This window comes from Homo sapiens, chromosome 19 (assembly GCF_000001405.40).
Source record: "Homo sapiens chromosome 19, GRCh38.p14 Primary Assembly".
Classification (NCBI taxonomy): domain Eukaryota; kingdom Metazoa; phylum Chordata; class Mammalia; order Primates; family Hominidae; genus Homo; species Homo sapiens.
In genome coordinates this window covers 28,370,091-28,384,090 of record NC_000019.10, presented here as the reverse complement: position 1 = coordinate 28,384,090, position 14,000 = coordinate 28,370,091, and the positions used below count along the sequence as shown (strand labels likewise).

Sequence of the window (14,000 nt, the reverse complement as noted above, 5' to 3'; positions counted from 1 at the left end):
GAGACAGGGACGGAGAAAGCTGATGAGGGTTGTGCATATGAGTGGTCACTGGGAATCCACCTGGCTGGAGGCCCTTTAAGAAACTCCATGGAACACACCTAGAATTGTCTCACCAGAAGGTGGGGAGGTGGAGGCATTTATTCACTGACTCCCACCTCTGTTGGTTGAGGGTTTTCCCTGGTACCCTGCCCCTGAAATTCTGGCATATGTCCCCACTTAGTGGAGCAAATACTTGTGGTGCTGGAGAAAGTTCAGCAGAGAAGCAGACAGGTGCAAATACTTGAGGCAGGAGGCTGTCACCAAGCTGGGAACCAGCTATTACATCTTCACATGACCTCAGGCGAACTGAGGGGATTGGTCCCATCAACAGTGTCTGCTATAACCATATAAATGATTCTAAAAAGTCACAGGTCTCCAAATGTATTTGGAATGGAAAAGTGATTTACCTAATTTTCCCCAAGCCAGTCTGGTATGGTGGCATGGATAAGGCAAGGGTCAATTTCAGATCTAATGTTTCAGCATGGTTCAGAAACGTCTGACAGCACATCTCTAGTTCCTACTAGCCACGTGTCATTGTGAGACTGCCTTTTAATGCACGGATTCCCCATTCCATGTTGTTATGATTGAACATAATTAGGGAAGCCTTCTTGATGAGAATGCTCTTAAATGAAAAGAAAGTCTGATCTATGGCAAATACATTCTCTCTGGTGATTTAATGTGACAGACAGAATAAACTGACCTAAAAACTTAGAAAACTTTTAAAAAAATTCTAATTTCCAAATTCAAATTGGCTATAGTGAGTTAATCAGGGAGTAGAGAGAGAGAGAGAGGGAGAGAGAGAGAGAGCATGGTTTGTTTCCCCACCGTAGCCTAGTTTCAATACCGTGGCTTTAGGTATGCTTGTTTTAAACACTGTCCTTGATGTCTGGAAGCTCACATGGACACTTGTACATGTGGGTGTCCAGCTCAGTGCCATGCCACCTGTGGAAAAGGGCAGCAGGCCCACAGGAAGCGTCATGAGGTGTGGGCACATTTGTAACATGACAGGGCAGCTGGGCAGAGACCCTAATTATTCCCAATCATTTGCACCTCCTATTTCTCACCTAGTATATTTCAGTCCACCCCATGAACCTTGGGTTGTCCTCATTCTAGGGTCTCTTCTGCAATCTTTGTCAATCCACAAGAGGATACAGACTAAGGCTGATTGAGAGGCAGAGAGGAGACACAATAAGTGTTTTCTGAATGGGATTGTTTTTTGAATTTGCCCGAAGCGAGGAGAATCTACTGGAATAAATGCTAACGCTACATTCAGAGTATGGGGCCCCAGTAAATAACCACCAGTGAGGACTCCCACAAGGTCCTGGGGCTCTGCAAGGTCTTTCCTAGTCATGCTGCCTTCTTGACTGGGGGAGGCACAGCAAGGATTCGTGGGCAGAGCTCATGACTTAGCCACCATCTCTCGACAGAGCAAGGACACCTGCTCCATATGTTTGCTTTCATTATTAATAACATGTTCACATTTCGGATGAATATTATACCAAATTAGCCTAATTATGTATGGCAGCTAATTTTCGGAGTAATAGGCAAGTATTCAGAGGCTTTAAAACATTGTGGAGAACACTCAAATTACAGTTGTGAGGCTTAGTTTGGGGTGTGGGGAAGGAAGGGAGGTGGCAAGTCTGGTGGGCTTCTAGGGGGAATCCCCTCATAGAGGAAGGAGCTAGTGTCTTTATATTCAGGAAGCTCACTGGAGCATTCCTGAATAGATACCATGCCCTTCAGCAAAAACTTGCCCACAGGGTCCTTTTCCAGATGAACTTCCCATTGCTTCCTTCTAAACCCTCTTTATGCCACCTCTGAGTGACTGCCTGAGCCACGTGCTTTTCACATAGGTTCTCTTTAGCTGCCACCTCTAGACAATTGCTCCTGGCCACCAGGAGCACTGCTGACTCTGGGACCACATCTCACTAACACAAAACACCGTGTGCTCAGCTCACAGTGTCTGCCTACTTTCCCACTGTTCTCTGTCTCTGAGGCTCCAGCCCCATCTCAGCATCATCTTTTCCCACCTGGAAAACTCCAGTACTGTCCTAATTCTGTCCCTGCTACCACTTGTGTGGTACTACTCTTTTTTTTTTTTAAATAGGATCTCTGTCCCCCAAGCTAGAGTGCAGAAGGGAGATCAGAGCTCACTGCAGCCTTGACCTCCTGGGCTCAAGTGATCCTCCAGCCTCAGGCTCTTGAGTGGCTGAGACCACAGGCTCATGTCACTGTGCCCAGCCTCCCTCTACTCTTTGTTTCCAAGCAGCTACTAGATCCCCAGTGAATCTCATCACAAACACATTTGTGGCATCTGGGGGGGAACAGTCTTCACTGTGCAGGACTTTACTATCCATTGAAGGATGTTTAGCATCGCTGGACATCCCCAATGCTGATAGTGTGCTCAAAGCATTGTGACAGCCACAAATGTCCCTACAGTTTTGTCATGTCTTCTGGGAGTGGCCGGACTGCCTCTGTTGAGATCTGTTGCTAACAGAATATTTTTACCGGCAAAAATATATATGTCATCCTTGGTTAAAATCCTTCAATAATTAAAAATAATCCCTAAAATGGAAGTTTCTGTGACTTTGCATTTTTCTCAGGATAAACTCCACTTGTGGCCGTGCCCCTCAGGCCTGGCTCTGCCTTTCCACTGACTGTGTTCCAGCCATGCTGACCTTGCTTCCAAGCCCAGCTCAGGCCCAGGCCTCCTAAGGCCTTTCCCCCACAGGCTGTTTTCCCACCTGAGTGTCCACCCTGCCTCCTCCTGCACCCTCCTCTCCACGCAGAGGCTTCTCCTCTCTGCAGGCCCCAGCGCGGCGAACACCTTCTCTGCAGCCCTCCCTGGTCCCGATAACTATAGAAGAGGCCCCCCACCCTGGTTTATTTTACCACTTCCTCCCACTTTACCTCGATTGAGCTTTCTTGATTTGCAATCCCAGGTATATTGATTTGCACACTGGTTTATTATTTGTCTTCTGTTGCTGGCCCCATAAGGGCAGATACAGCATCTGTTCTGCTCATGGGTCTGTGCCTTGCTGAGACCTGAAGACAGCTGGTGGCTGAACGCTTAGAGACCCGCATGTATTTCAGGGGACCGGCTATAAACGAGTGCCTTTATAGTGCCTTTAAAGGGAGCCCCAAAGCACCTCTACCCTAGTCAAGGCAAACAAACGGTGCTCTGTGTGTCTAGGTACCAAAGGGCCTGAGACAGTCCCCCAAAGTAGAGACAGGAGGAAGCAGGCAAAAGTTTTCTGCACCTGAGGCCAGTTTGGAAGTGGCCAGGAGAAGGCTCCTGGATCTGAAGGAGACACGGATGTCAGAATGACTGTGGACCTGACGCCTCCCTGATACCAAGACTCAGATGAGGAGTTGCCCTGTCCCCCACCGCCACCTGGGCTATCTGAGATCCCCCATCCAGAAGAAGAAGGTGGGGGAGGAGGAAACACTTTTAATCCTGAAACTTCTGCATTTACCCAGAAGAAAATGAGTTTATCTGGAGGTAACTATATGACACTTTTGCGTCGGACAAAAATGTGAACTGTAAAAAATTGAGTTCAGTTACAGAAAGTTACATTTTTGCACACTGAGTATTGTGATGAAAACTTTAGCCCATGTAGTGATGATGTTAATAATAATTATCCTGATTTACACTCTATAGTAACTTTACATAATGGTGTCTGATCCTTACAATGACACCCTGAGGCTGCTGGAGAGCTGGACTCCGAATACAGCTGTTATGTCTGGAAGTTTGTCTCTTTGTTGCTGGGCTCTGTGCTGCATCCTGGAGTGTTCAGGGAAGAGTCAACATTTAGATCAAGAAACATGAAGCCTGTCTTCGAATCCTGGGTTGATGGCCTGCCTGTCTAACTTACACGTTGTACATAAAAACTGGTGGAGATCTGAGATCTGGGAGATCTGAGATTTCCCAGACACCCGTGGGCCACCAGAAGCTCAAGATCTCCCAGAACTCCTCCTTGGCATCCCTCAGCTGAGCCCCAGGAACAAGGCTCACAGTGGTTGATGGCTTTCCAGCAGTCCTTCTGGAGCAAGCCTTCAGACTTAGAGATGCCTTCTTCTGGAACTATTTTCCTCAGCTGGCTGTGGCCTGAAGCCATAGTGCAAACACCCTTCTCCTGGACTCAGAGACTTGAGGGGGTCTATCTTAGGTTTGGTAGCCATCGTTAGGCTGCTAGTCCTATCACCAAATCTTACAAGCTATTGTCAAGCCTCCCTCAAATTTGAGGTTGAATGATGAAATTAATGATGACATTAATGGTAATATCACCAATAGCAACATTTATTGAATATGTATTACATGCCAGGCACTATGCTAAGCCCTTTCCTAGATTTGCTCATTTAGCTTTTGCAATAATGTGATGTAGGAGCTACCATTATTGTCTTCATTTCACTGATAGTGAATTTAAGACTCAAAGACATTGTTTAAAAATAACATCCACAGTTGTGTAGCTGCACCTTGGTCTGTCTGGTCTACAGTGGGATTCTCAATCAACATACCACACCTTCCAGCCATAGTCATGTTCATTGTGGCTGCCCCTATATGCCAGTACTGTGCAAAATGCTTTATGACTAAGGTTGGTTCTAAAGTTACATGGAGGGTGTGACAGTAGAAATATATAGGTAACTCCAAATCACTGCTAAAAGGAAAAAGAAAGAAAAAGGAAACCCAGAATCAGTTGTTGGCGGGTGAGTTGGGCCTCATCAGTGTGAGCGTCAGAGGTGGCAAAGGGATCACAGGGGCCTGGGATGCCCTCACTTTTGTAGCTGGGCTTGGACACAGGCTGCTAAGGCTCTTCTGCCATCGCTGTGAGCAGAGCAGATGCCACATGTTCACCCGGCTCTGTGATGAGGCTCCTGTTGTTCCTGATGAATCCACTGCTAGCGTAATCCAGAACTGACAACTTTATTTCCAAAACCTACAATTACTTCGCCTGGTAGGAGTTGGTGCCATAGTTTATAGATGGAGATGTAAAGTGCAGAACCTTAAGTGAGATGCCTGAGGAAGGACAACATCGTCTAAGCAGTGGCGCTAGGGTTTAAACCAGGACCTGTCCCATTCTGATAACATGACATCTCCATTTCTCTGCAGATCCATCACTATCAGTCTTTGAAACTTTCCTTTTTAATTTTATTTATTTAGTATAGCAATAAGACACATTTCAGGGGCTTGGGAGAAACCGTTTTACCATCCTAACACACACACATACACACATCCACACACATACATATACACACGCATGTCTTCTGTGTAAAAATCTGTTAAAAATTATATGAATAATATGTTCAGAGATTCTCCTCTTATTTCAAAATTTCTCCCGCATAGGGATGAGGGTGGCTAACGTGTCGCTGGCGTGACAATGGCACAGTTTGCAACAATGTTCTGCAAATCTTCTGATCATCAGAATTATCTAGGGAGCTCTTAAAAACAGCGTGGGCTGGGTCCCACCCCATAGTTTTGGCAGCAGTGGGGTAGAGAAGGAATCTGTTTTTAACAAACCATATCCCTCCACAGGTTTGGTAGCCATTGATTTAAAAGACAGCGCCCTGGCCTGGGAGCTCAGGGTCTTGGGCTCCTGTCAGGGCTCTGTCAGTGACTTGCTTCATGACTTTGGTAAGTACCCTCCTCTGTGCTGGACTTTGTTTCTCCGACTATAAAATGAAGGGAATTGGAATAAATTAGGAATCTCAAACTGGATTCCTGTAGGATCATATGTGTTTCAATTCATGACTTGTGCCCAGAGATGATATTAAAGATAATTCCAAAGAATAGTGCAGGCAGGGCTAAAGGAGGGGAAAAGGAGAAGGTGATGGGTAAAAGGAACAAAGTTTCAGGTATGCAAGATGAGTAAGTTCTGGGGATTTACCTAAGAGCACAATGCCTGTATCTAACAATACTGTGTTTTATGTTTATAATTTGCTAAGAGGGTGTATGTTATGTTAAATGTTCTTACCACCTCCCCCCCAACAATTAACACTAATAATAATAAAGGGGGTGGGAGGAATCTTTGGGAGGTGATGGATGTGTTTGTGGCCTTGATGGTGGTGATGGTTTCACAGGTGTATACATATCCAACCAACTTATTGAGATGTATACATTAAATATGCACAGCTTTTTACATGTCAACCACATCTCCATAAAGTTTTTTTTAAAGAGAAAAAGAAGGCTGGGTGCGGTTGCTCACACCTGTAGTCCCAGCACTTTGGGAGGCCAAGGCAGGCAGATCAGGTCAGGTCAGGATTTCGAGACCAGCCTGGCCAACATGGTGAAACCCTGTCTCTACTAAAAATACAAAAATTAGCTGGCGTGGTGGTGGGTACCTGTAATCCCAGCTACTTGGGAGGCTGAGGCAGGAGAATCGCTTGAATCTAGGATGCAGAGGTTGCAGTGAGCCGAGATCACACCACTGCACTACAGCCTGGGCAACAGAGCAAGACTCCATCTTAAAAAAAAAAAAAAAAAAAAGGGAAAAGAAAAGAAAGAAAAGAAAAGAAAAAAGAGGCTGGGAGCAGTGCCTCACGCCTGTAATCCCAGAACTTTGAGAGGCCGAGGCAGGCGGAACACAAGGTCAGGAGTTGAAAACCAGCCTGACCAATATGGTGAAACCCTGTGTACTAAAAATACAGAAATTAGCTGGGTGTGGTGGTGAGTGCCTGTAGTCCCAGCTACTGAGGAGGCTGAGGTGGAGGTTGCGGTGAGCCGAGATCTCGTCACTGCACTCCAGCCCGGGTGACAGAGCGAGACTGTCAAAAACAAAAAACAAAAAACAAAAAAGAGTAGTGCAGGCACTGACTAAGCGACGCTGGCCATGGTGCTGAAACAGGATTCCTTTTTTTTTTTAAATTAACGTGGAGAGATTTTTATATTTATTAATTTTTCTTTTTTCTTTCTTTTTAAATTTCAACTTTTATTTTAAATGTGGTGGGGTACATGTGCAGGTGTGTTACATGGTTATACTGTGTGATGCTGAGGTTTGGGGTATGACTGATCTCATCACCCAGATAGTAAGCATAGTACTCAATAAAAAGTTTTTCAAAGCATGTATCACTCCTGTCCCCCCTGAAGTAGCCCCCAGTGTCTATTGTTTTCATCTTTATGTCTATGTGCACCTAATGTTTAGTGTCCACATATAAGGGAGAGTATGTGGTATTTGGTTTTTGTTCCTGCATTAATTTACTGAGGATAATGGCCTTCAGCTCCATCCATGTTGCTGCAGAGGACATGATTTTATTCTTTTTTATGGCTGTGTAGTATTCCATAGCATGCATATATACATATGGGATATATATAGCTGGGATATATATATATATATATAAATATATATATATATAGCTGGGATATATATATATAAAATATATATAATATATATATAATATACATATATATATCACATTTTCTTTAGTCAGTCTACCATTGATGGGCACCTGGGTTGATTCCGTGTCTTTGCTATTGTTAATGGTGTTGCAATACACATAATAGTACAGGTGTCTTTTTGGTAGAATGATTTATGGTAGTTCTATTTTAACTCTTTGAAAAATCTCCATACTCTTTTCCATAGAGACTGTACTAATTTACATTGCCATCAATAATGTATAAGAATTTTCTTTTCTCCACAATCTCATCAATATTTATTTTTTGACTTTTAATAGCCATTTTAACTGGTGTGAAATGGTATCTAATTATGGTTCTGATTTGCATTTCTGTGATGATTAGTAATGATGTGCTTTCTTAAAATATGCTTGTTGGCTGCTTGTATGTCTTCTCTTGAGAAGTGTCTGTTCATGTTCTTTTCCCACTTTTTAATGGATTTTCCTCTTGCTTGTTGATTTATGAAACAGGATTCTTGAGGGGATCCTTTGGTTAGTTGTTTGCCCTTTAGTTGCTGAATGATGGAGCAGTCTGACAGGTTCTTGGGCAGACCACAGGAGCCAGGATGGTGGGGAGGTTATTTAGGGGGTTTAGGATAATGACTATTTACCTATTTATTTATCATGAGGGGGGATCTCACTCTGTTGCCCGGACTAGAATGGGGTGGCACCGTCACGGCTCACTGCAGACTTGAACTCCTGGGCTCCTGCAATCCTCCCACCTCAGCCTCCTGACTAGCTGGGACTACAGGCATGCATCACCATGCCTGGCTAATTTTTTATTTATATTTTTGTAAAGACGGGACCTTGTTATGTTGCACAGTCTGGTCTCAAACTTACAGGCTCAAGTGATCCTCCTGCCTTGGCCTCCCAAAGTGCTGAAATTACAGGCATGAGCCACTGCACCTGGCCTGTTTACCAATTTAAGTGGAATGATTTTAATATTTAACAATCCTGACAGCTGAGCTGGTGAGTACCAACTGACTACCAATTTTGCCTAAATAGTAATTTTATTATTATTATTTGGTTTTATTACTTTTAAAATAGTAATTACTTGTTAATATTGAAGAACAGAAGAATTTTTACTCATAAACCCGGATATATAGCTTCTCATGAAAAAGTCTGGCCACACTGGATCTGAACTTCTGCCTTGTAACTGAAGAGCAGTTATTCATTTGGACTTAGCAGGTCCTGGCCAGGTGACTGTAGACATTTCAATCTGTGATTCCTGGGCTAATGTGATTCTTTTGATCTTGAAGCACAGTCTTTGGATTCTTTTGCTTTTCAAGCTTATTCCTGAATGAGGTGAAATGGGCCAGCAGGTGGGAACTATACTGGAAAACTGGGCCCTGTGAAGAGTCAGTGACTTTAAGGTAAGATTTGAAGCCTATTAAAGCTGATGGCACCTCTTTAAGCTAAAAATGACCCCTTGTCAGGAGCTGGGTGAGGCCGGCCTTCGGTGCAGACTAATCCCAAGCATGTTTCACTGAAACCTCTGAGTCACTGGCACTAGGAGGTGGTGTGCCGGCTTAACTCGTACTTTTTCCAGAGGTGACATGCCTGTCCTTCATGCCACTAACTATATCTACAGCTTCTCGCTTATCTTGCTTTTAGCCTCAATTACAGGAATGGCTTGTCAATTTGACTTTAATTCTGGATTACCTCCTTTAGACGGTAAGTATCTGTCAGCAGAGGCTCTCACACTAAAGATCAAATCCCCTCTGCCTCTGGGATTCTGACCTTTTGCCTGACAGCCTTTCCCCAAAGACCTGGATTCCCAACCCTGTTCTCATTTTCACTAATGAAAAACAGGAATCCCTAAACCTGATTTTTTCCAAGAATCAGAGATGAATTGTTGACTCTGCTCAGTGAAGGGTTGATTGTGTGTTACACACTGAATAACAGCAGCAGCAACAGCAGCAATAATAAACATTTCCTCCATTTTTCCTCAATTATTTCTGAGGTCCTATTACCATATGCTGTGGTAGGCTTTGGATGATGGTGAATAAGTCATACACAGTGATTTTGAGGCTTAAAGTCTTATGAAAAAGCCTATATTAGGCTGGGATGCCTCAGAAGCAGATCCTGAGGCAAGGATTCCAGTGCAAGTAGTTTACTTTGTAGGTTCAGGTGACACTGGTAGAGAAGTGGTGTAGTGACACAGGAAAGAGAAGGTAGTCAATAAAGGGGGTGCTATTAAGCCAGATGCCACAGTGAACTACTGAAGCTTAAACCCATGGGAAGCTAAAAATATTTAAAAATACATACTTCAGAATCATTCCTCCCAAAGGGTAAGAGATTGGGGTGTTTATACATCAACTCCAGAGAATAACTGGTCTACTGCTGCTGCCACTGGCTGTTAATTCTTTAGCATTTATAGCCTGCAAGACAATCGCCTTCCGGGATTCCAATAAAAGGTCTCAGAACCAGAGACACAGAAACTGGTTGAACCCCCTAAAATGAGAGGCTGTAGGGGAGGCACTAACAACGTCTGCCATAGGGACCAACATTCATCAAAGATTAACCCAGAAAAACCTATAAAATGACAACCGTGATAAGATTTCTAAGGAGAGATGCATTTAGTAGGGAGATTTTTCCTGGTCATATTTATTTGAATAAAAGCTGTCCATATGTAGTTTATCAGATATTTCAAAACTCCATGAGATTCGGTGACTTGCCAGTTAGAGGCAGAGCCAGGACTTGAACCCAGGGTCCCAAGGTGGAACCCCTGCTTAGTCTATCATCCTACTTTTTCCAGAAATGAAATAATCTATTCTTGACTATATACAGAGTAAAACAGCAGGCAGCTGTGGCCAGAGAAAATTAAAGAACAATGTTGCTGCACCCTGAGGGAAGCCTTTCTTTAACTGTGTAAACAGGCAGCTATCTCTGTATTCCTGTAATTGTATATATTTTTTGGTAGCTCTGCATATTCCAAGAGGTGAAGAAGAGCCAAACTACCCCCAAGGGAGAGGAAATCTTTTTTTTTTTTTTTTTTGGCCTCTCTGCCTTTTCATTAACACCTAGAGCAAATTCCCAGCCCTCCAATGTCTAGGAAGTTAATAGAAGTATCTGGCCCCACTTCCAAGCATTGCTGATTTTTATTTCATGAGCTGGACACAATTTTCATGACTGATTATGTGCCGAGCTCCAATGTTGCTATTACATAACCATCTGCAACAAATATATTCAGTAACAATGTGTCCAAAAAATTATAGTGCCAGAGAATTAGGACCAAATGGAATGTTATGTTTCATAGTTAAAATAAATCCCTTTCTGGACATGGGCATCTCAGGAGGGCTAAAATCTGGTTTTGGATGCTTCCTAAGACTGGATGGTTTAATGGACATAAAGGAGATGTTTCTGGATTTTTTCCTGGATAAACAATGAGAAGCTAAGTTAATTAGAGGTTTGAACCCCTGGGAAGAACAGCTCGAAAAAAACCAAGGTCATTTATGCCTGCTTGTCTATGCACAGATGAACAGATCCCAGCTAAGCTGTGCTGGTGCTGTGCTGCTTGTTTTAAAATCAGAGGCAAGCTCATGTTTCGGAGTGTCCACATTTTCTCTAGGACTCACTTAACATATTTACCCAGGGTGGTGCTGAGGTCTTTGAAATTAGATCAAATGCTCTTAATTTGCAATGACTATGTTTGGAAATAGGAAATTATGACTCATCTTTGAAGAAGTTGAATCCTTCATTTAGGTGCATGACTTTTTAACAGTTGAGTGTTAAAAACACCAACTGTTTTTCCTGTGCTCTTATCCCACTCACAACAATCAACACAGAAGATTTCTACGACCAAATATGTGAAGGTTCCCTCACCATACATACCACGCAAGCAGTCAGTTTGCAGTAGACACCAGCTGGGTATCCTCTGATTCAATTCAGTTCTGACACAGCCTAGCTGAAGAGAGCATCAGGTTCCACAGGGTGAGGAGGGCTCTGTACCACAAGACAGCCCCTGCCTCCAAACCCAGGTACAAGCCCCAGGTTATTTTGCCTGTGCTTCTGACAGCCCAGCTATAAGTCAGGGTTTTTGTGGACCCCTCTTTGGGTTTGATTAGTTTGCTAGAGTGACTTGCAGAAGTCAGGGAAACACTCGTTTATCAGCTTATTTTAAAGAATATTACAGAAGATGCAGCTAAACAGATTCATATGGGATACATGGGGGAAGGGGCATGGAGCTCCCATTCCCTCACTAGTGCACCACTCTCTAAGAACCTTCACATGTTCAACTCTCTGGAAGCTCTCTGAACTTAGTCTTTTTGGTTTTTTATGGATGCTTCATTACAGAGGCATGATTGAAGAAATTATTGGTGATCAACTTATTCTTCAGCCTCTCTCTCCTCCCTGGAGGTTGGGAGTGGGGCTGAAAATCCCAAACTGTCTAGTCGTGCCTCGGTCTTTCCATTGACCACACCCATCCTGAAGCTACCTAGGGCTGCCAGCCATCAGCAAATTCATTGGTATACAAGAGACATCACTTTGGAAATATTAAGGATTTAGGGGTCATATGCTAGGAAACAGGGTTGAAGATTTTTCTTAGTCTGATTGTGTTGCCATAAGGGAATACATGAGGATGGGTAATTTATAAAGAAAAGAGGTTTATTTGGTTCATGATTCTGCAGGCTGTACAAGCATGGTGCCAGCATCTGCTTCTATGAGGGCCTCAGATGAAAACAGTGGAAGATGGAGGGGAGGTGGTGTGTGGAGCGATCACATGGTGAGAGAAGGAAGTAAGAGGGCTAGCAGGAGGGGCCAGCTCTTGTCAACAACCAGTGCTCTTGGGAATGAAGAGTGAGGACCCATTTACTCCTGCAAGAAGGGCATCAAGCCATTCATGAGGAATCCATCTCCACTGCCCAAACCCTCCCACCAGGCCTCACCTCCAACACTGGGGATCAAATTTTAACTTGAGACTTGGTGGGGCAAAACAAACCATAAACAAGACATATCAAAGACCAACCCTGCATATTTTATAATGTCACAACAGTGCATGCCATGAGCCTGAGGAGACCTGAGTTTCAGAGAAACTGAGTTTAGAGATTCTCTCATTTCACCCTCATCTCAAAAAGGAAAATAAGTCATTGTGTGAAAAAGACACCTGCAGTTGTATGTTTACCACTGCACAATTTACAACCACAAAGATACAGAACCAACCTAAGTGCCCATCAACTGATGAGTGGATCAAGAACACATGGCACATATACACCATGGAATACTGTTCAGCCATTAAATATAACAAAATAATGTCTTTTGTAGCAACTTGGGTGAAGCTGGAGGCCATTATTTTAAGTAAATTTACTCTGGAATAAAAATAACAAATACCACATTTTTCACTTATATGAAGGAACTAAGCTATGGGTATGCAAAGGCAAACAGAGAGGTATAATGAACATTGGAGACTCAGAAAAGAGGGATCATGGGAGGAGGATGAGGGATGAAAAATCACCTATTGGGTACAATGTACACTATTTGGGTGATGGGTGCAGTATACTATAAGCTCAGACTTCACTGCTATAGAATTCATCCACGTGACAAAAAAACCACTTGTACCTCTAAAGCTATTGAAATGAATAAACAAATAATAGAACCAAATAAAAATTGCTTAAAATATGAGAAAATAAAGATAGCTTTCACATAGAATCTTGCATCTTTGAGCCTCGACATGGTCAGCTGTCACTGAACAGAGGCTGCTCAGGTAGGCGAATGGGTGCCCCCCAGGCAGCCCTGTGCCCACCACCGCCTCCCGCTCCTGGTCCCTGAGGCTGAGTGTCATTTGCCATTTTTCACGGTACCTGTGTTGCTGCTCTCTCATTCCTGATCCCTTCACTCAATCACATTTCCTTCTTGGCTTTGCGTGCTTTTGGATTTTCAATCTCCTAAATATATGGTCTTCTTTAAGGTTCCATCTGTCTTTAAAATTCTGCCATTCTGTCTCAAAAGATCATGCAGCAGGCCTCTTACAGACATGGAGTGTCTGACATGATGATTTCAGTACCATGTTTCTTGAGGGAATGGCTGCTTCCTGATGGTGCTTCATCAAAAGCTACCTGCTTCTCTTATTTGGGTGACTAACTTGAAGCATGGAATGGAAAGTGATGAACTGGACAGGTGCATCATTTGGTTTTTATTCCTCTAAAGCAAACAGCTCTAACTCACCCTGGCTTTGGCTGAAGTTGAAATCTATTGGTCACATGATGACTGAAAAGACTAGAGTTAGGTGAACTCTTGATCCAGGGGCTCCCATGAAGGCACTGGGCTCAAGTTCTCTTCATTCAGTGGCTATTATCTTCTCTTTTGGCTCTAAGAACAAACTCCACTTGTTAGATGACTGCCAGTAGCTCAAATCCCTCATTGTTTCCAGTTTAAGCCTGGTGGAAAAGAGAGTATGCTTTTCTTCCCAAAGGGCCCACTAAAGTCTCATTGTCTCTCTCTGACTCCGAACGTGCCATGCCTGTTCTTTAACCAATTTTCATGTCCATAGGAATGGGACTTACTGGCTGGTCAGTCCTGTGTCCCATGCCCTCTCCTGCAGTCAAGGGTAGAGTCAGTCCCACCAGACATTCATG

The 14,000-nt window shown here is 43.5% G+C and overlaps 2 annotated features.

The window, feature by feature from the left end:
• Positions 6,722-6,922: a silencer, noted in NCBI's record as "peak3420 fragment used in MPRA reporter construct". NCBI's record gives its function as "represses an SCP1 promoter by STARR-seq MPRAs in K562 erythroleukemia cells {active_cell/tissue: K562}" and the evidence as "EXISTENCE:reporter gene assay evidence [ECO:0000049][PMID:32103011]".
• Positions 6,943-7,143: a silencer, noted in NCBI's record as "peak3419 fragment used in MPRA reporter construct". NCBI's record gives its function as "represses an SCP1 promoter by STARR-seq MPRAs in K562 erythroleukemia cells {active_cell/tissue: K562}" and the evidence as "EXISTENCE:reporter gene assay evidence [ECO:0000049][PMID:32103011]".